This window comes from Homo sapiens, chromosome 9 (genome assembly GCF_000001405.40).
Source record: "Homo sapiens chromosome 9, GRCh38.p14 Primary Assembly".
NCBI lineage: Eukaryota > Metazoa > Chordata > Mammalia > Primates > Hominidae > Homo > Homo sapiens.
In genome coordinates this window covers 76,894,772-76,917,631 of record NC_000009.12, presented here as the reverse complement: position 1 = coordinate 76,917,631, position 22,860 = coordinate 76,894,772, and the positions used below count along the sequence as shown (strand labels likewise).

The 22,860-nt window shown below is 43.1% G+C and overlaps 1 protein-coding gene across 34 annotated transcripts in view, besides 2 other annotated features; it reads left to right on the top strand.

Moving 5' to 3' along the window:
• Positions 11,389 to 11,448: a silencer, noted in NCBI's record as "silent region_19964". NCBI's record gives its function as "represses an Ori minimal core promoter by ATAC-STARR-seq in GM12878 lymphoblastoid cells {active_cell/tissue: GM12878}" and the evidence as "EXISTENCE:reporter gene assay evidence [ECO:0000049][PMID:35858748]".
• PRUNE2 (prune homolog 2 with BCH domain) overlaps positions 11,518 to 22,860 on the top strand; it is a 294,739-nt gene continuing 283,396 nt past the window's right edge. For all 34 annotated transcript variants that reach the window (NR_131751.2, XM_047422884.1, XM_017014349.2 and 31 more), the window contains exon 1: positions 11,518 to 11,704. Coding sequence is in view for 32 of the 34 variants with exons in the window: in XM_047422884.1 (XP_047278840.1) it covers positions 11,669 to 11,704 (36 nt within the window). In the remaining 2 variants the exon portion in view is untranslated. The remainder of the gene's footprint in view (positions 11,705 to 22,860) is intronic.
• Positions 19,082 to 19,581: an enhancer, noted in NCBI's record as "H3K27ac hESC enhancer chr9:79512967-79513466 (GRCh37/hg19 assembly coordinates)". NCBI's record gives its function as "activates a minimal SCP1, AML or CMV promoter by ChIP-STARR-seq in primed H9 embryonic stem cells {active_cell/tissue: H9 hESC(primed)}" and the evidence as "EXISTENCE:reporter gene assay evidence [ECO:0000049][PMID:30033119]".

Sequence of the window (22,860 nt, the reverse complement as noted above, 5' to 3'; positions counted from 1 at the left end):
GATCCATGCTACGGCAAAAATTGTTTTGCAATGGGAACTACGGCTAGGGGTCTGCCTCCCATCAAGGATTTATTTATGGAGGAATTCCCAAAATACAGGAAGAATGTTCAAATAGTAGCAGCCAGGAAATTTCCAACATCTGCTACACTGGGTCACTCTGAATTGGTCTTTTTGGCTTCTTTCTGTAATTTCCATTTTGGGAAATCAGGAGTTGTGACTCACAGTGGTAAATCTTCACACAGTTGAAATATGCCTTATTAGCACAATCTATTTTAGTATTATTAATGCCATAGTATAAATATGTACAGCATTAGAAGTAGTCAATTAGTGGAGGCTGATTTTTATTTTACTTCTATGTTGGCTTTACTTTCAAAATATATGTTATGTTATTATTGTTTTCCTTTTCTTCATTTTCATTGCTACCTTTCTTGGTCCAAGCCATCACTATCTCTTAGGTAGGTGATGAGATAGAGCACTAAGAGGTCTGGGACTCTTCCGCCCCTACACAGCAGCCTTGCCCTCCACATGGCAGCTGGAGTGATCTTTATAAAACCACACATGAGAACATGTTCCTCCTCTGATGGCTTCACACCACATCTGGAATAAAACCCTAACATCCTACCCTGACCGAGTGGGCCCTATGAGTTCCCCTTGCCTCTCTGAGCACATCTACTCCCCCGCTCATGCTGGGTCGGCCTTCTATCCGTACCTTTGACCATGTATTCCCTCTGCTTTGATCTCTTCCCATCTATTCTTACAGGGCTGGCTTCTTCTTGCCATTCAGGTCTCAATATCTCCTCAGACAGACTCCTAGCCCCTTAATCTAACGTAGACCTGCTTCTACTCCAATCATTATCGTTCTGCTTTATCTTTGTAGTGTGTGCTACTCTCTGACATTTTGAATTATTTGTTTTCTTGCTTATTGTCTGTGTAGGGGAGAAAAGATTTCTTTCCTCACTCATTGTAAAGTTCATGGCCAACAACCCTATGACAAAAGAGTAATAAGCAAAAAGCTTGCAAATGCATTTCATGTAAATCTTACATGACATGTGAGCCTTCAGAAGCAAAGCCCCAAAGACCCAGGGAAAACTGTATTTTTATGGACAGCCATACAGAAGTATAATTGAAGGACAAAAGGGTCTGATCCAAAGGTAACAAACTGGGAGAAATGTAGTAAGACCTGTTTGTTCAGTTTCTTCTGTGTGGGCACCTGCCACATGAGTGTCTTCAGGGGAGAAGGAACAGAAGAGGTCGGAGAGTGACGATCCTGGGTTTTATGGTCTGCTTCAGGGGAGGAAAGCCTGAGAGAAGGTCAGAGACGCCTTCCTACTTCTGCTGTTTTTTCAGTTTCCAAGGTGTCAGTCATATTTTGGGGTATCACACCTGAAGCCTCTGCGAGACCACAGGTCTGTGTGCCTGTCCAGTGTCTGGGACATAACAGGAGCTTAAAAAGCATTCTCTCCACACGGGGATTTACCGTAGACATGTTTGTGAAAACCAAACAAATCCTTAATTCCTCTCCCCCTGCAAGGTGTCCTTCCTCCATTTAGAGCTGCCCTTTTCCAGAGTTCCCAGGGTCTCTGGGTCATTACCAGGTTCCCTTATCACAAAGAGAAAGAGTGGAAGTTTCCTATGTTTTCTCTCCTCAACCTCCAGTCAGTTTTCTCCATTCCAGGCTGCCTTTGCTGTGTGCAAAGCTCAATTGTCTGCCTCAATTTTAATAATTCAGTGTTGAATGGGCACATTTGCATATGCAAATATTTGAAGAATTGAAATGGCAATTAACAGATGTATATTTGGGATTAATTTAAAATATTTTTTGTCTTTTCCTGTTTACTTTCATGGTCCAGCAGTAATTCTGATCTTAGTGACTTGCTGTGATTCCTCCATCCAATGTGTTTCCAGGTCTACTCTAGCCAGAGTCAGATTTCTAAAAGATGCTGTGCTGTCTTTGAATACGATTGAAAAATCACCATTTTAACCCCTTTATAGAACCTAATAAAGCATTTCAGAAGTACCTGCATTTCTTTTTATTTCTACCTGGTTGATGAGCCTCTCTCTTTCAAGGCTTCAGCTAGAGGAGAATTGATCAACACGTGTTATTATAATTATTTGAGGACCTACCATGGAAAGGGCACTGTGCTGGAAGCAGCTGGGGGAATATAGAGAGGAGTAAGACCAAAGCCCTGTCCTCTGGAGCCTTATGGTTCCACAGGAAGGAGAAGATGTGAAGACTCGTTACCTGAAGTTGACATTTGGTGGATGACACAGCATTCAACACAAAACATTTGCCATCCCCCAAAAAGCTGCCAACTGTTACTGGATGGCTTTGGTGATTTCCATGACATTTTTCCAAAATACAATGACTTTCCTCTTGTGGTTTTTGTACATCAACAAATCTTTTCAACTAACAACTACTGGGAAAAGTGAATCTATAGAAGTTTATTATTAAATAAACTAACATGAAAATGAGGCTGTTATAGCAGTATTGGAGTGGTAATAGTCCAGCCCTTCCCCAACTGCTGACTCCATATTTTAAAACCGTTTTTAGGATTTTTTTTCCCCTTCATTCACAGAAAGGAAGGTGACAGGGTGAAGGAGGTGGGGGTGGGGTGCGGGGGGCACATAGTAGAAGGAATCTGGAATCCAGAAGAGGTAGTATCGGTTTCTAACAACTTTCTGAGCTAAGTCTAGTGGAATATTAATGTGAATGAATCCTTGACAGAAACAGAAGAAATTGGGTGGCAGCATTTCCCAAGAGTGATGAATTGCAGGTGGTGTCTCCAGGGAGTAGGTCAATGAGAGTATGACGGAGATGTTTGCTGGGAAGCAGGTCCTTTGCTTTGCTGCCCAGTTTAAAGAAAATACAGCAAAGAAGCAAATGCTGTAGGTGGACACTGCGGCTCTGCGTTAATGGATTTGGATTTCCTTCTTCCTTTTCCTCTGGAACTTCAGTGGTTTTATAATGCAGAGATTTAGAGAAGGAAAATGCAGAGCAAATAATTTTTGCCCTCATTGAAATCGACAGTTTGTTGGACATTTTTAAATATCCAGTTTTTTATTTTACTGCTTTCTACACAATATTATTGAAAATACATTACATACTGAATTCAGTTTTTTCTAAGTGAAATATTGCCACTATATAAGAAGAGAGATCAATGGCCTTTGTTAGACAACAATTGAACAGCATCCTTTAGCCTGAAATTTGAGTCTTTCTTTCTTTCTTTTTTTTTTTTTTTTTGGTTCCAGGCTTCCTGTCATGAATAGAAAATTTCTCTGAGGACATTAGGATTTGATACCTAAGAAAACACATACCTCTAACAAATCTTGCTAATTTTTCTCTTTCCAGGCTTGTTATTTACATGTCTACATGTCTTAATTACTGACCTTTGAGTTGAAGTTCCTTAAAATACTTGATTACTTTTTTTTACAGGTGGATATTTTTATGCCATCTTAACATAATCCCTCTGTTCTACACAAACATCTAATGCTACAAAGATATTCAAAGACTTTTTAACAAAAATAAGACAATTTCTCTTGTACACTTTCATGTTTCTTGTGGATCTAAGAATTGTATGATTCCATTTTGTAATCATAGAATGTTAAGGTTGGAAACATCCACTCAAGCCTTCTGTTTCTCCTAGGACCCTAAGACCTGGAGATGCTAAAATCACTATCCAAAGGACTAACATCACTATCCAAAGGACTAAAACTCAAGCATTTAACCATCAGAACATAATAGTGTTCCACTTTTTGGGAAGGGGTGAGGTTCAAGAATGATGAGGGGAGAGATGAGGACGGGGGCTGGGTAAAGGAGAACCTGATGGGAAAGAAGCAATGATTTAGCTGAGCCATCATTGATGACAGGAGCTTTTAATGATGTGTGCTGATCAAGCTTCTGGGACATTTACCTCTTTCTTGCTGGTGATTTCTCTGACTCATCTGCAAACATCAGGTATGAGGTCTATGTGGCCAAGTAGGTGAAGGGGTGAAGAGGTAGGTGAAGGGGTGACCAGCTCATTCTTAACTGTGGCAGAGCAATTGAAAGTGCCATGTGGTGAGTACTCATTTCTTCTCCAGTCTCCACATTTGCTTTTTTGGGTGAGCAGCTGGGTAGCCCATGCCAGTGGACAGGCAGTGATGTGCAGTCGCTTAGTACCTGGGCTCTGGACCTGGTCACCTGCTTTGGCTACTTACTACCTGAGTAATTTTGTGAAAATTGCATCTTTGTACCTCAGTTTGCACATCTTTAAAATGAGGATAATAGTACCTGATTTATACATTTGTTATGAGGACTAAATGCTATTAATACACATAAAAAATTAAAGTGATATTTCATGCAAAGAAACTCTTCATAAACATTAGCCTTTTTGATGAAAAAGGCCTGAACTTTGGAATACAGAGTCTAGATTTCAATCTTCAGGCATGTCAGTAAACAATTTTGGGCCTGTTTCTTCAGCTCTAGAATAGGTTGGTTGCAGTTCCCATTGTTCTGGCCTTACAGCATTATTGCAAGGATGAGAGATCATGTTGGTCGACTCTCAGGGTGTGGAAATTATTAACATTCTACTTTCCTTGCCAAATACTTCCTCAGTGGAAATGCAGGATGGGATCATGAGTTAAAGTTTATACTGTAACTGAGAGAGCCAGCGTTGTTTTGAAGGTACTTGAGATACCTTTCTGCAGGAAGAGCGTGTATAAAACTGAAGCCACCTGAATGTATAGTGTGAGAGGAAGCTGGGACTTTAAGGCCCTATCTACATCTTTCCACAGGCAACAGACCTGAAAGTGGCAGCCACTGCCTTATTATTCTGATGACTCACAGAGCCGGAGTACTTCCTCTCTCCTCCACTGTCCTTTCAAATTAAATTCATTGCTCTTCAAGATGTCTGTGGTTCCCAGAAATGACGCAAGTTGTATGTACCCCGTTCAAAGCCTGAGCATTTGACTCTCAGGACATTCTCCCAAGTGGTCTGGGCCCTGCCACTTGCTAATACAGCTCTGACAATCTCAATCACTCCTCTTTTTCCTTTCTTTACAGAAACTCAGAGAAGACAATGGCTATATGGACTCCTTTTAAAAAAAGTCTTGCAAAGCTTACCTTAAAAAATTTGGATATTCTTGCTAAACCACAAAATAAAAAAAATAGTTAATTCCTCTTAATATTATTTGCTAACATGGATAGTATCTGACCACCCACAGGACAAAAAAACAGACATTTAACAGTTGCTTACAGGCTAAATGAGAGGCCCTAGTTAATGCACATTAGTCCTGTTTCTATCTCTTGTCCTTGAAATAAGCTTAAAATGCTTTTAAATTTAGTTCAAGTGTGAGATGCAGTTTCTTGAACCTCTTGTGTCACATGAAACAATTTAAAAGCAGCGAACATAACCCATCTGCACCAAGGAGAATCTACCTGTGAGAGGTGTTGTTGGTCAGTGAGGAAGCTAGCTTGGAAATGTGCCCAAATAGTGAATCAGCAGCTGCCATCCCAGCTACATTTCATTTTTAAAAGGATAGCATATGTCAGGTATTTTTTTTTTTTTTTTTTTGCCAACCAAGCTGATTTCTTCAGTATTCTGTTTTCCCTTGTTAACATTTCCCAGTATTTGTAGGGATGTTAGCATTTGATTCTTTAATGACAATCATGTAAAGTAACTAGGGCAGGTATTTATCTTCTATTTCATAGATAAGGAGATTAATAATAAATAACTTGCCCAAAAGTACACAGCAAGGTCTCATATCCAGATTTTCTGATACCATGCTGTGAGCACCAGGGAAGCTGGTTAAGATAAGGAAATCTTCAGATACCCCTGTGGTGGCACTGACAGTAATAGGTGTGCCATGAGATGGATGAAGAGCTACAGTGCTCCTGTGAGAGTCTACAGAGGAAAGATCTAGTGCCCCATGGGGGTAAGGAATGGTAATTTGGGGATACAACCCCTAAGCAAGTTATATTTCACTAGTGAGTAGTACAGGTAGATGTGTTATTGCTGAGAAACATCTGCAGTGCCTTTCTCTGAAACAGGCCTCTTATCATATGAAGCCCAGGTTGCAAAGGAATATAACCTTGGGAGATATTACTTGGTGTAGAATAGACACAAGTTATAATTAAATCATGTCACATTTTTAGTGACTGCTGTTCCATCCACAATTGACCTGGAGATTTTCCTCTTGTTGGGTTCTCTTCATGGATTTTCTTTCTTCCACTTACAGCTATTGCATGAAGTTTCTCCTCTCCTTAACAGACTCTTGGGAATCAGAATAACGGCAGCAACTGGCCAAGAATTGGGCACTTTGCATATATTGTTGCATTTGGGCTTCATGACAGTCCTAAGAGGGAGTATTATCTATTCATCTATTTTATAGATGAAGACCTTGAAGCTTAGAAAGGATAACTTGCCCTAACTTTCTGAGCTGGTAACTGGCCAGATGCTCTGCCTATCTATTGCTGCAGAACAAATCCCAGAAAGTTAATGGCTTATAATAGCAATCATTTTATTATATCCCACAGTTTAATGGGCCAGGAATTTGGGCAGGGCTTAGCAGACACAGCTTAGCTCTGTTCCATGTGGCATCAGCTGGCTTGACTGGGCTGGAGAATCTATTTCCAAGATGGCTCACCACGCGGCTGGCAGCTGGGCTGTTACCCAGAGTTCATAGCTCCTCTCTGTGTGAACCTCTCTATATGGCTGCTTGGGCTTCCTCATAGCATGATGGATAGGTTCCAAGAGCATGTATTCCAAAAGACAAGAGGTCGAGGCTACCAATCACTTAAGAACTTGGTCCCAGAAACTGGCATGATGTCATTTCTGTAATATTTTATTGCTTGGGAAGTCAGAGTTCTCCTAGATTCAAGAAGTAACATAGACCCTGCCTCTCACTGGGAGAAGTATCAAGGAATTTTCAGCCATGATTAATCTACCACACAGAGCAAAGATGAGCATACGGGTCTTAGTTACCACAACATATTGCATCTCAACTAGTATCACACCAGATGCATTTCTCAATCACTGCATTTATCTATTTGGTAGTGACTAGCCTGTGAGCTCCTTGAGGGCAGGGATCATGTCTTATGCATCTTAGGGTAAACAAAATCCTATAAGAGCATAGTCTATGCTTCATAAATGCTCAAGGAAGGAATGAAAGAGAGCTGAGTTCCAGTCCTGGCCTCTGCTTCAAAGTAGCTCTGTTAGTCTGAGCAGGATGCTGAACTACTCCAGGCCTTGGTCCCATCTCAGTAATATGAGGAGATGGCATCATCAGAGGATCCCTTAAGTCTCTTTCTTTTTTTTTCCCCTAGCACTACCATTGTGTTAGTCCGCTCAGGCTGCTATAACAAAATATTTTAAATTGAGCAGCTTAAACAACAGACATTTATTTCTCACAGTTCTAGAGGCTGGGAAGTCCAAGATCCAGGTGCTGGCCAATTTGGTTCCTGATGAGGACACTTCCCTGCCTTGCAGATGGCCATGTTTCTCCTGTGTCCTCACATGGTGGGAAGGAAGAGGTGGGGGGAGGGAGAGAGAGAGACACTAATCCCATCATGAGCGCTCCACCCTCACCACCTCATCTAAACTTAATGACACCCAAAGGCCCACCTCCTGATACCAGCACATTGGGGGTTAAGGTGTCAACACAGGAATTTTGGGGGGACACAGGCATTTAATCCATAATAACCACTTTACTAATCTACTCAAGATAATGATTTCAAAAATAAAGAGAGTTCGGATACAGGTCTCAAATGAGGGGAGTCCAGGAATCAAGAAATCTGAGAGAGAGTAAAGCAAAGAGTAGAGGAAATGGGATTGTTCTGCCAACAAGGACAAGGGACTCTAGAGAGAAGAGGGTGAAATGAGGTTCAGATACAAATACATAAATTACGATCGTAGTGCTTGGAATAGAAAGAAAGGAAGTTGAAGGAGGCTTTTTTAAAGTTTGAACACTTTGGACTGGGGACTATTTGGCCACAGTGGGTGGCAGAGTGTAGTAAATCAAAGGGAACTCCAGGTTTTGTACCTGAGTGACTGAGGAATGCGAATTCATCTAACATCAGCAGTAGTTCCCAACCCTGACTACACGGAGAATTACCTGGAGAGCTTTGAAAAAATATTGATGCCTGGGCCCCTCTCAAGATCGCTCAATTCAGAATTTCTGTTCTGAATTGTTCTGTTTTAATGTTCCAGAGATGGAGCTTGGAACATTAGTTTGTTTTTTTGGAGGCTCCCAGGTGATTCCACTGTGCAGCCAGGGTTGACAATATCTTACCTAGAGTTAAAGTCACTAGATTTCTGGCTGCTATGGAATCATAAAAATTGGAGGATCAAATGCCGATAGCTACCAAATAACATCATGTATGGTTTGTGGTGTATGCAGAAAAATGACCTCCCAAAGATGTCTACAACCTAATCCTTAGAACCTATGAGTATGTTAGGTTACATGGCAAAGGGAATTAAGTTTTCAGATGAAATTAAGGTTGCTAATGAACTGACCTTGAAATGGGGGAGATTATCCTGGATTAACCAAATAGGCCCAATGTAAACACAAGGGCCCCTAAAAAGTGGAAAAGGAGGTTAGAAGAACAGTCAGAGAAATGAAATGTTGCTGGCTTTGAAGATGGAGTAAGTCTGGGCGCGGCAGCTCATGCCTGTAATCCTAGCACTTTGAGAGGCCGAGGCGGGCAGATCACTTGAGGTCTGGAGTTCCAGACCAGCCTGGCCAACATGGTGAAACCTGTCTCTACTAAAAATACAAAAATTAGCTGGGCATGGTGGTGCGCATCTGTAATCCCAGCTACTCGAGAGGCTGAGGCAGGAGAATAGCTTGAACCCGGGAGGCAGGGGTTGCAGTGAACCCAGGTTGTGCCATTCCACTCCAGCCTGGGGTACTAGAGGGAAACTCCATCTCGAAAAAAAAGAAAGAAAGAAAGAAAGAAAAAAACAGATGGAGGAAGATGCCACAAGTCAAAAAACATGGGCAGCTTCTAGTCGATTGTCCCCTAGAGCCTCTAAAAAAGAATGTAGCTCTGTTGATACCTTGCTTGCCCAATGAGACCTGTGTAGGACTTTTGACCTACATAACTGTAAGGTAATACATTTATGTTGTTTCAAGCCACTGAATTTGTGAGATTCTGTTAAAACAGCCCCAGGAAGCTAATATAGGTGGTCAGCTTAGGAAGGTTTCATAGAAAATGTTAATTTTGATAAACTTTTGAAGGGACATTATTGGTGGAGAAAAAGATGGGGAGATTGATGTTGGAATTTGAGTCCATCAGAATTTTTTTTTAACATTTCAAGGATGTGTGATACCTACCTAGAATATTTATAAGCCAAAGCTAGAGGAATAAAACAGTATTATGTAATTGGTGCTAAATTCCCCAGTGAAGTCAGAGGCAAGGCATTCTCTAGAATTTTTCTCAGTAATGTTACTTGAATTGTGTGCAACTTCACAGATTTAAAGGCTGACAAAATACTTGCTTTACCTGGTTGGTTTTAAATTACTTAAGTCAGTACAGAAAGCAGACAGAATCTCCAGCTTCCACAAAGCCCACCCCTGAATGTCACCTGGAGCTTAATATTCTTATCACTCTCCTTTAATCAGATCTGTGGACCCTGCTGATTTGTTTTCATTGGATCCTTCTGAATAAAAAATAATTGGATCATGAGACACACATATACACACAGAGACAGACAAGAAAACAGACACACATTGAGACAGGAGAAATAGAGCAAAAAAAAAAAAAACCCTTCCATATGTACCTTTTTTCATTAAAACATATTTATTGAGGACCTGTATATGACATGAACATACATCATGTTAGGGTTCCATCAGTGAATGAGACAGGCAAGGTCCCTGTCTTTACAGAGCTCACAGCCTGGTGGAGGACATAGACAAATAATTATGCAATTTATAGCAGAGTGGAAAATGTAAGTTGCTATGAGGGAATACAGAAGGGGCAACCAACTCAGTCTGGGGATGGGAAGGGAAAAGTGTGTTGGGGAGGCTTTCTGGAGAAAGAGAACTTCTACGCCACTCACTGTCAAAGTGTGGTTTTTGGATCAGCAGCATCGGCAAACCCTGGGAGATTGTATACATGGACATTCTCAGGCCCATTAAGCCACACCTATTAGGGCTAAAATTCTAAGGATGGGGCACGGAAATCTGTGTTTCATCAAGCCCTCTAAGTGATTTAGATACATGTAAAGTTCATCGAGAATCAGAGCATCACACCTGAACTGCACATTAGAATCACTTGGGTCACTTTCCACAGAAATGCTGTGGCCCCATGCCCAGAGATATTAATTTAATTGGACTGGGATAAAGCCCTGGTATCAGTACTTTCTCAAGTCTCAGGTGATTACGATGTGATTTTACTGTGCAGTCAGGGTTGAGGCTACTTCTGTAGAACAGCTGAGGCTGGGGGCTAGGACAAGGGCTGGAAGGATCTTACAGGTGGTGTGCAAAAGCCCAGAGGTCAGAGAAAGCCTGATGTAGTGTGTTTGGGGACCGGACAAGGCTACATACAACAAAACCCCATGATTTAAAATAAGGTTTGTAGATATAAGTTCATTTGTTCATTGTAGTACTTCTTAAACTTTAACAAGCATAGAAATCATCTGAGGGTCTCATAGAAACACACAGATTCTGATTTGGTAAGTAGGAGCAGGGGACTGAGGTTCTGCATTTCTATAAGATCAGCGATGCTGATGTTGCCGGTCTGCAGACTGCACCTCACCTTAGCAAGGTTCTATTGCCCCAGCTTTCCCTGAGGGTACATGTCAGTGGATGGGAACTGCAGAAGGATGTATCTATGCATTAGTCCCAGGGCTGACATAAGGGCACCTAGTTGGGGTGAACTGTGGATGCCCATTGTTGTGTGGACATGTTTTCATGGTAGGGAGGAAAGACGCAGCCTCGCCCAACCTCCTAGCCTGCTCTTCTGATTATTATCCATCAAGGTCGTACTGCTTTTAGCTCAGCAGTAACTCCCCTCTTTCTCTCCTCGTCCCTCCCACGCCAATCTAGCTGAGTGCCTCCCCCGGCCAGGCCAGCCGACCAGATCATTAAGTGACCGCCGGAGTGCTCCGTAACGCGCCAGCCAGCCAGTGAGGCGCTGGGCGAGGCGGGGGCTCTCCTGGGACCCGTCTCCCTCTTCCCACCTTCCCCCGCTGACCGCGGCGGTGCCTGCGGCAGAGCCTCCCTCTGCAGCAGCCCCTTGCACTTGGCTCGCACTTCTGGGCGCTGTCCATGGTTGCAGCAGCTTTCGGCGCGCCACGTCAGGAGGCCGCAGCACGGCCCTGCGATTGGCGGAGGAGCCCCTCGCCATACCCCTGCACCTCCGCCCACGCGCCACGGCGCCCGAGGCGCGTGCCAGAGAGCGTGCCCGGCGCGCCCCGGGGCTCCTGGGCGGCACACCCACTTTCCTTATTAGGGCAGAGTCGGGTGCCCAGAGCCGGCGGCCGGGCGAGGGGTGGGGCGGGGAGCCCTGGGCGAGACGGTCGAGGGCGCAAGCACAGCCTCCGCCGCAGCCGCCTCAGAGCGGCAGGAGGGAGCAGTCGGTCGCTGCGCCCCGGCGGGCCACTTTCCCGGGACCCCGCTCGTCTTCCTTGGGCCGAGATTTTCCACTGCGCCCCTCCGAGTACCCGGGTTCCAAACCCCTAGCCACGACATGGAAGAATTTTTGCAACGCGCCAAATCTAAACTGGTAAGTTGAGTGAGCAAAGCTGTGTGTGTGCGCGCGCGCGTATGCTAATGGAAAGGTGGAGAGGAAAAGGTGTTGCAGCAGAGGAGGAAGAAACAACTTTGCCACGGAGTTATCAGGGTGTGCGGGTTGTCTCCTGGAAGAAATCTCAGGAACTCTGGCTCTTAAAGCTGGCAATCTGTCTCCAGAATCCTCCACCGCAACCAGACGAGGTGCAGAGCTGAAGGAGGTTGTGGCCTGGCTGAAGTTGGGTCGCTTCAGTCCAGCTTCGGTCCCTAAATCAGCAGTTTGCTCCTGAAAGCTAAGGGATAAATGGGTGTGGTCTTCCTTGAGATAAAGAGCCCAGCCTTCTGCAGATGCATTACGTGTAAGTGTAAAAGGAAAAAAAGAGACCCTTAGAACTGTACTTCAGCTGGAGGTGACAAAAGTGAGGAAGTCAGGGTGCTGGGTAGCAAGGACATGTGTGGTACTGGAGAATCCACAGAATAGAGCTTGCTCCACTGCAGGAGTTAGGGATATTCTAGTGTGTCTTGTGTCTCGCTAATTCCTGTTCACATCTGTAAATTGGGGCGGAGGCAGAAGGGGAAAGCTCTAACTGTTGGTGTTCTGGAGTTTACCAGATCATCGTTCTCCCGGGAGCAGACCTGTGTGTTAGCCCATGTTTACCATATCACTGTCCAAACAGTGAATGGGCAACTCCACTGTGTATGTTAACAGTTGCTACACATTCTGAAACAACAGACTCTAGCAGTTTCTTAATTCCAAACTGTTTTGGCTCTCCAGCACAGCAGTAATAAACATAATGGAAATGTTTCTGTTTTGGCAGAAAAAAAAAGAAAAGCCTGTACTCATTTAGAAGCAATATCTTTAAAGAACTGTAAAAGCACCTTTTACAGGCCTGGCATAGAAAGAAATGCATAATTTATGATGCCTTTAACCTTTAAGCCTTCATAGAAGCCAAAATGTAAAGTCTGCATTAAGGTAATGTTTTAATCACAAGGCAGGATATTTGCAGGGTTATTACTGTAACTCATTTACCCTCGCACAACAAAGGGAGTGCAGGAAGGGAGGGCCCAAAGATGCCTGAACCACCATTCAGAGTGCAGACGGAAGTGTGATCCTTACAATGGTCTAACTGTAACTATCTTGTAAAAGACCATTAAAGTTGATAAGTGCTTATATAAAACTTTCTACCTGAAACCTCCCAGAGAGTTGAACGTTTGTGGAGATTTCCGAGTTGAGGAAGTTTGTGATCATCTCTGTGTTTATTGACCCTTTTATAGTTTTACTAGAGCACATGGATGAAAATACTAATTTCAGAAACTCAAGTAAGTATTTGGCATTTCTGATAGTATAAGTACATGTTCTGTTCTTTACCTAGTAATGAAGGAGAAATGTTCAAAAATGAAAGACAATTTTGGCAACTGTGCGTGTGTGTGTATGAAAATGGTAATCAATGACAAACACAGAGTTCTGGGCTGTATCTGTTTTTCACTCCCATAACATTTATTTATCAATATTTTCACAATAAACATTTAGACTGTGGGGTCTGATATGAGCAAGAGGTTTGTCTCAATTCTGAGGAGCAGTTGCTGGAATGGAAGTTTCCCTATTTCCGAGTAATGAGTTGAAAGTAATCTGTAATTTATTTACCCTTCATTAGACGAGCAATTGCTCTACATCATTAAAAAAAAAAGGACAGGAAAGAGAAGCGGTTGTTTGAAATATTGTTACCAGTTTCATGTCTTAGCCAGAACAATTACTGCTAATTTTATCGTTTCTTGGAATAAGCTTCTTCTAGAAATCATGATTAACCTTTCACATCCAGCCACAGCAAAGGTGTGTTGGTCACTTTTAGTGTCATATTTTCCTGAGAAGTTACATTTTCTAGGTAATAAGATTTTTACTTAATGTATGACACTCAAATATAGTAGTAGATAACATTCTCCTTTAGAGGGTAGATAACCTTTTTCTTGGAGAAAAAGAATTAAGTCAATGTCATTCACTTGTGGGAAATTTATTTATAATAAAAAGGTAAGATTTGGCCGGGTGTGGTGGCTCACGCCTGTAATCCCAGCACTTTGGGAGGCTGAGGCGGGTGGATCACCTGAGGTCAGGAGTTCGAAACCAGCCTGGCCAACATGGTGAAACCTCATCTCTACTAAAAGTACAAAAGTTAGCCAGGCATGGTGGCGTGTGCCTGTAATCCCAGCTACTAGGGGGGCAGAGGCAGGAGAATCACTTGAACCTCGGAGGCGGAGGTTGCAGTGAGTCGAGATTGTGCCACTGCACTCCAGCCTGGGCAACAGAGCGAGACTCAGTCTCAAAAATAAAATAAAATAAAATAAAATAGTAAGATTTTTAAAAATTCAGCCAATCCTTTGGAAAACATTTTAAGGTGAAGAAATTTACCATGCTGATTTTTACTTAAGCCTTATTAGACCAGAATTAGAATGTAGGAGCTATGTTTTAAATGTTTTTCTTTAGAAGTTTAGCTATATGATACCTAAACAAACAAACAAAAAAGCCTAATTACTAGTTTGGTTTTTTTTTTTCCTATTTGGCTTAATTGCTTTGTTATTCTGTGGGCATTATATATATTTTTTAATGGTTTGAAATAGTTAATGACTCCTCCAAAGTCCTAACATAACCTCATCATCATTGGGGCTAGCTAATTCCAATAGGCAAAAAGAACTTTAAATTGCAAAATGGAATTGCTATTAGCCATAGATATAATCTCCAATAATCAAAATGTTGGAAAAATTGTGTGTCTTTTTTTCTGACTGGGAACATTTATTATTCATCTGTCATTGTAAGGAGAGAGGAAACTCTGCTATTCTAGGCCAGGCCCCTAGGTTGAACAGAAGTCTTTGAAAGAAAAGGATATTTTGAATTTTTATCAGGTAGTTTGGAGCTGATTTCCAATAAGTTAGGAGATCACTCTCAATTCTATTTTTAATCCCAGTCTGGCCCTACTACTCTTTAAATTGAGGCAGATTCACTGACATAATCCCATCCTCCTTTTCCCTAAATCTCCCTTTCTAATACCTTTCCCTCCCTCCTGAGAATACTCAGTATTTATCAGAAATGGCAAAAGTAAACTCCAGGTGTGGCCTCAGAGGCATCCCTCCTCCTGGGGCTCAAATGCTTCTCATGTGGGCCTGACTTCTGCCTGGTTAGGACAGGCTGGGGGCTGGAGCATATTTGTGAAAAACTTGGTTGGAGGTGGGGCACGGCTAGGGAGGTAGTTACTTCTTCCAAGCAGTCTCCAGAAATGCTCCCTTCTAGACAAACAAGGAATGACACATATGGAATTGACACGAGGATTGTTAAAGCAATAATAACAGTAGGATAAGCAATCTGAGAGCAAGCCCCGCAAGCTTGAGATCGTAATCAAAGAGTGGCGCTTCCTAGTTGAAATCACTTCCTTGATGTGAGAACCCAGCCATATTTTTGGTCTGGATACTTACTACCAAAACTAGAGAGAGTGCAAACGTATTTTCTTTTTTCTCCTGCCCATTCAGAGTTGCAGAAATCAAATCCTATATTCCAGATCAGTCCTTAAGTTTTAGCCATGCTTTCTGTTCTTAGTTACATCATTTCTATGGTAAGAGAAGTTGAAGGAGTGTAGGGAATGAGGGCTCCCTGCTCTATGCTGTGATTTGGGAAATGACCCTCAACTTCATAGTGGTCAGCTCAGGAAAGTATTCAGGACAAGGACAGTCTCATGGCAGTAAATGGTCCATGTTCCCATGAAGTTTGGGGGGAAAAAATGAAGTACATGAGGAATCATCTGGGGATGGGTAGAGAGTTCTGAGGCTCTGGCTGGCAGGAAGCCAGGCTCCCCACACTGGGCCTCTGCTGCTGAGCCTCCCTCACTGCCCAGACCCCCCCAGGTGATGCAACTCAAGCAGCTGTTAATGGGTGGAGATCACCGCAGCCCTCATGCCCTATGATGTAGGTCAGGAGCCAGCCTTGGGTGGCGGGGGTGGGGATGTTGTCAGCTGTCACCAGCAAGATACAGGGCACATCAGTGTCCCAGGAATGCTGTTTTCAACAAGAAGGTGGACAGTCACTACTGCAGTCCAGGGGATGCATCTGCTACTTCAGCAGTGACAGCTGTGGAAGAAGGGCTCATTTCTGCAGTAGGTATTAGTTGATATGTGGACTTCTACAGAAGAAAAATTCTAGGTGACTTGAATGTCAGCTCATACTCTGTGATATGTGCCATAGGGACAAGAAAGTACATTCAAAACTCTAAATGAACAACTGCATTAGAGTGATTACAGGAGATGGGGTTTTAAAAAGAAAGAAAGACGGCAGCATGTCTGCAGAATAATCAACTTGATTGGAAATTGAAGGCATATATTCTTCCTGATTTCCTCTTGCATGGGAAGAAAGTTCCGCGTATCAATAAAAAGGATATTTAAAGTGAATGCTTCATACCTTTTAAAGGGCTGCTGTGGTAAGGACTAGTAATGATGAAGAAGCTGGCAGAGCTGTTTCATTTCAGGAGCTGAGCTTATTCTGATCAGAGACCATGGGATCAGCTCCTGCCCCATTGCAAACCAGGGCAGGTGCTCTTGAGACCATGCCTCTTGCCAGAGCATTTATGAGCAGGAAACTCAGGAATCCAAAGCACTTCCCGTGAATGTGATACCCCTTGCTTAGGGGCTGATGAGGAATGAACCCTTGATTTTTTTGGTCCTGGAGTTAGCTTCATTTCTCACTGCCAGATCATTCAGATGAACAGCTGCGGATTGTCCCAGTCCTGGGACCTTTGGAGAAGAGCCATACTTTTTTAGTGTAAACAGATCTTCAAGTGGATCAGTCTGTCGCAAAGGAAGAGAGGTGCTCCCTGTGATTCAGACAGCACCTTGGGTCTTGGAGGACATGGGATCAGGTGAGCAAGGTCACCCTTTAGGCAGTGATATGGGGACTATTTTGTCAACTAAGTAAACAGCTGATGGCTTTGGTATAACCAGTTTGTTTCTGTGTAACATTTATTTGGGCAGATATTAACATAATTTTGAGTTTGGTAAACTGGTCTGGGGAGCTCCTGTAAGCAATGGCTTGGTGATGGAGGCATTATTCCTCCAGGGAGGGGGTAGAGGGAACCTACCCCTCCGTGAATGTTACCTGAGCAGTGAGAAGAATGAGGGAAGAATACTTGGATCTGGATAAAGGCTGCAAAAGAGGAAACAATATCAGGGGACCAGAGAGAGGGGATGCAACGTTAGTTACTGATTTTTCTTGAACCTTGGGGATTATGGGAGAGTCCTGGAGTTTGAAGTCTTCTTGAAAGGAAACTGGGGAGGGCTGATGTATTCAGGAGGCAGCATTCCTATGGACGGTGATATGAACAGTGCCCTCTGAGTTTGTATAGTACACAACCTGCACAGTCATTCGTGGCTACCCTGTTAGGGGTCTCAAATTAGCGTACTCAAAATCTCTAGCGTTGTCCCAAATCCATTTCTTTCTGAGCCCTGTGGCTTTGGACTTTGGTTTCCAGGGAAAGGAAGTCTTTCTTCTTCAGAGCTCTTATGAGACTAGTGGGCTCTAGATCACCCTGGAAAATCAGACCCACAAAGTTTGGGTTAGAATAATCAAGCTGATAAACACAGCTTTGGTTTCTTAATCTGAAAAATGGAATAAGTGATGCCTACTTTGCATGTTTGTTGCAAAGCCAAAATGATGTATTCATAGCCCTTAGCACAGAACCTGGAACAATGGTGGGTCTTTCCACTTGCCTCCAAGCCCGTCCTCTTCTGTACTTCCTTGTCTTAGTGAATGGCATTGTGATTCATCCAGTTTCTCCAGCTGAAAACTTCCTTTTCCTTCATCTCTTCCCTAACCCACCCTATCCTTAAGTCACCCAGATGACCACAATGGCTGGCAAACTGCTTTCACCCTGCTTCCAGGGAGATCATTTTGAGAGCATCTTTCACACCTTTCCTACCCCTCCCTTAAAACCTCCTCATCACTTTCCATTGTTCTTAGGAGAATGGACACACTTTTCGTATGACCTGATCTGCTATCCAGCTTCTTTCTGGCTTTTCCTCCAGCTCTCCTTGGCTTAAATAATTCCTGCCTCTTAGGTTAGACAAAGAAAAGACTCTTCTAAGTGAGCCCCCTCACCTGCTTCTTGAGTCTAAGTCAGGTATTTTGGTAATTCTTTAGATCACTTATTTCCGCTTGTCATTATATCTCTATTGGGCATGTTTGTTCGATTAATGCCAGTTTGGTGAGAGTAGGGACCAGGGTCTGTATCATTTTGCTCACCATTGTATCTCCCGGTTCTGGTGCAGTACCTGATGCTCAAAGAGTGGTTTTAGAATTAATAAACCCTAAAGGCAAGAGTCCTGCACAAAGCATGACACTTTGTAGTGGCTCAATAAAAATAAATAAACGGAGGGCCAGGTTTAGATTTTTGGAGGTCTGAATCTGAAGAAAGGCTATTGTCAGGAGGCAGGAAGCCATATTTGTTTGCTAGAAGAAGGTGAAGGACACTAAAGTCAAGGAGCACCATATTGTACTTCATACACAGTAAGTACTTAATACAAAGTGTTAAGACAAAATAAAAATCTAATTTTTATGCATGACTGCTTGGGATCTATAAATATTGGTTGAACTAAAGCATGAATGGAGAGAGGCAGAGGAGAGGAATGGGGCACTAAAAGCCTCTGCAAAACTGCATTGGGTAGATCAGCCAACAGTGGAACCATTGGAACCGTAGGTTCTCCTCCATGTGGCTCAAAGACTAGAAGTTGGGCTCCCCCAAGGCCAACCACTGTACCAAGTCAGCCCAGCCTAGTCTCTTGCTGCCCCTTGACCAGTGCTAATATCATGAGAGAGATTGGCAGGGAAGCTGTTCAGAGTCCTTGAGAGAAAAGATTAGGCATTCCAGACTTCCTGTCCAGCCCTGGCACTGCAGACCTCATGTGTGGGGTAAACCCATGCATGATCCTGAGTCAGACCTCTCGTCCAACTAGTGGGACTGTTTGTGGTGGAGCGTGATCATGGTCTTCCACTTCATCTAACTCTCCTGGATGTGACCAGACCTTCCCAGGTTATTTGTTTTAGCCTGTAATGCCAGAGTCTTTTTGAACTGATGATGTCTAGGAAAATTGCATATCTTTGGCTCCATGCATTTGATATTTCTTGCTTTGGCTTCCCAGAAGCTTAAAGCTATGTTGGTGCTTCATTTTCTTAGCCTAGGATTTCCGAACTAAGGTTTTTTTTGTTTTGTTTTTTTAATTGTTACTACTTAGTTTTAATCTCATTATAGTTGTTTTAATTTTTTTACTTTAATGTATATGCACTTTTATTATAAGTAGGTTATCCTTTTGGTTACTGTCAAGAATAAATAAATACATCTTATAATAATATATATGATCTTGAGTATATATTGGTGACCAGTCTGGCCTAATTCAGGGTTCATCTACTCAAATTTGAGAATTAGCTTTTTGTAGTAATGGAGAATATAGTGTGGGACTTCAGAATAAGTAGCTGAAAGGAAACATCAACACAGTCCAAAGATTGTCTGTGTTCCCATCCTTGATGATTGCTGACCTCCCTGAGAGCAGCAATAGCCACACTTCCTTATATCTGAGCCCATAAATGGGGAACTGTGAGGCAGTCCCTGGCAGAGGCTGCCTGCCCTAAATCAGATCCTGGGAGATTTTCCTAGAGTATGAGTTGTGGATTTAGGAGACCCTTAGAAGGACTTTTGTCCTCCTTCCCACTTCTTGCCCCCTAAAGGCAGTACAGCCGGGCGGCTAATCATGTGGAGCCAGTGCCTGATTTCAAATCCTAACCCCGCCACTTTTACTTGCTAGTCACACAATCTTAGTTTCTTAGCCTCCCCGGGTCTCAGTTTCATCATCTGTAAATGAGAACAGTAGTAGCACTGGCCTCACAGGGCTGCTGCATGTGTGTATGCCCTGAGACGAGGACGTGATCTCCAGGCACAGTAATAAAAACATGAAAAGGCCACTAGCAAACAAGAGCCAGGAAGCCCTATTTACATTTCACAGAAACAGGAACAATTCTTAGCTGTCTTGCAATTCAGTTAGAATTTGTGGAATATCTGTCTTAGCTCTAAGAGATACTTTTAAAATTTGATTTAACTCCCACAATGGTCTTGTAAGGTAGGTACTAATCTCCTTTTGCAGTTGCCAAAACTGAGGCTCAGTGAGGTTAAGAGGTTTGCCCAGGCCAGGTGCAGTGGCTCATGCCTGTAATCCTAGCACTTTGGAAGTCCCAGGCAGGCAGATTGCCTGAGGTCAGGAGTTCCAGACCAGTCCAGCCAACACGGTGAAACCCCATCTCTACTAAAAATACAAAAAAATTAACTGGGCGTGGTGGTGTGCATCTATAATCCCAGCTACTTGGGAGGCTGAGGCAGGGGAATTGCTTGAACCAGGGAGGTGGAGGTTGCAGTGAGCCGAGATCATGCCTCTGCACTCCTTCCAGACTGGATGACAGAGCGAGACTCCATCTCAAAAAAAAAAAAAAAAAAAAAAAAAAAAAAAAAAAAAGAGGTTTGCCTAAGGTTGCATAGCCACAAAGAGTAGAGCTGGAGTTTGCTTCCGGATCACCTGACTTCAATTCTAGGACCTTCTTCCTCATACCATAAGCACCTCTTCCCCCAAGATCTCCTGGAACATTTCATTCTTGTTAAATTAAAAGTGAACAGCTTGACAAGTTTATAGGAGGGCTGAGTGGTAAGTTAGTGAAATTGCACATATATTGTTCACGCTGACCCAAGAGGGGTTCATTCTTCTGTGTTGCTTGTTTTATGTTAAAATCTTTTGGACAACAGAATATCAACCAATGTTACTGAAATCCTGCTATGAGAAAAACATGGTGTTAGGCCATCTGAGATTTGGTTGAATACATTGTGAGATTGTTCTCACTGCATGCCCATTTGAAAGAAAATTAACTGATAAACGATTGGGAGGAGAATGTGTGTGATTAGCTTTTAGAGTAATTAGAAATGTTATGGGCATCATTTGGTGAAATGTTAAGAACAAGAATGCATTTTTAAAAGAGTTTAAATGCCTCTTATTTGCCACCAAGGTTATTTGGTTTTGTAGTTTCTTCACTGTTGCCACTCTCTTATTGGTGGCCTTAAATACCACTTTGATGGATTGACCGATGTCAGGGGGTCTAGGCAGGAGAAGATCCAGGGTTAGAACACAGCTCTCGGTTGTGTCAAGTCCACTTTGGCTCTCCAGTCTGCTGGTTTAGCAGCGCCCCAGAAAACTGTTGATTATGCTCACGATACACACAGAAGTGAAGGAAAGGGGAAGAAAGGAAAGAAGGAAGGTGGAGGCAGAATTGGAGGGGAAATAGGAGAAAAGAAAGCGATGAAAGGATTCAAGAAGGAAGCAAGTATGAACATCCTTCCACAATTCAGGACAGGATGCGTTGTAAGTGCAACAGTTCTTATGTCCACGGTCACTTCCCTGGCACATCAGCCAACCCAAAGTTACCCCAAAACTAGGAATTGGGCAAAGGCAACTAAAGTTGATTATTGAAAACCTATCATCAGTTAGTTCTTTTCTCACAGGAAAATTCCCTAAGTGCAATCTCTGAGGCTATTTGCGAGATGATACTTGTAAATCATTCACAGAAATGCTGGGAGCATAGCAAAACACATGAATGCTAGCTACCATCATTGAGGTTATTATTTAATGTGCACTTTGACACAGTGTTCACCAACCTTGTTTTCTCAGAAGGGGATGATGGAAAGGGAGGTGGCTGCCAGAGGCTGTAATAGATGATGACTTACGATGGGGAAACTACACAAACAAAACCAAAATCAAACAGGACCTATAAGAAGCAGACCTGATGGCAGGCGTGGTGGCTCATGCCAATAATCCCAGCACTTTGGGAGGCAGAGGTGGGCAGATCTTGAGGCCAGGAATTCAAGACCAGCCTGACCAACATGGTGAAACCCCATCTCTACTAAAAATACAAAAATTAGTGGTGGCACACACCTGTAGTCCCAGCTACTCAGGAGGCTGAGGCAGGAGAATCACTTGAACCCGGGAGGCAGAGGTTGCAGTGAGCCAAGATGGTGCCACTGCACTCCAGCCTGGGTGACAGAGCTAGACTCTGTCTCAAAAATAAATAAATAAATAAATAAAATAGAGGCAGATCTGGGCCCCCAGTAAGTGTCATTCCATTTGGTGTCAGGTAAATAATCCCAAATATCTGCACAGCCCTTGGCAGACATAACATCACTGACATAAAGTACATATCTGATGCTCATAGTAATGACCCTAAAGAATCAGGGGGAAAAGATCATTTAAATTTAGTGTCCTGTTTAAGAAGAAAGGTGTGGTGCATAAGCGATTTCAGAAAAATTTCCCACTCAGATAATTAACATAGAAAAAAATAGAAAAGAAGTTGTGGCTTGCAGGGTAGGCTTCGGTTGTCTGACAAAGCCTCTTGCATAGGAGACCTTGTTCTTGAGTGTAGCCAGATATGTGAAACGTCATGGTTTATAACAAGTGATCATGAGTCAGGATGGAAGGTGATGGTGCAAAAATGTGAGTCTGATGTGGGGAGGCATAAATAGGCCTCAGCACGTACAAGATGTGAGCAGCCTGGCGCCCCACTCCCATTCTCAGTGGAGAACTAAATCTGGTTCTTGACTCCAGAGGAGGCACAGCAATGACCACAGAGGTATAAAATAAGGTCCCTGAGAAAAGCCCGTGAGGGACCAGAAGACTGCTGATGGCCTTGCAATTCTTTGAAAGGTTCTTATGGAAGAGTTTCCACCCATGGAAATTATTTCTTCCCCTCAGTTGAAAAAACAGGACTTTTAGGATGAGTGGCTTTTTTTTTCTCCCTCTTAAGGAAGCCCATTCATTAAGGTCCCTTTTTTTTATTTTTTGAGACGGAGTCTTGCTCTGTTGCTAGGCTGGAGTGCAATGGAGCCATCTTGGCTCACTGCAACCTCTACCTCCCTGGTTCAAGAGATTCTCCTGCCTCAACCTCCTGAGTAGCTGGGATTACAGGCAAGCGCCATCACGCCCAGCTAATTTTTGTGTGCGTGTCTTTAGCAGAGACGGGGTTTCATCATGTTGGACAGGCTGATCTCGAACTCCTGACCTCAGGTGATCCACCCACCTCAGCCTCCCAAAGTG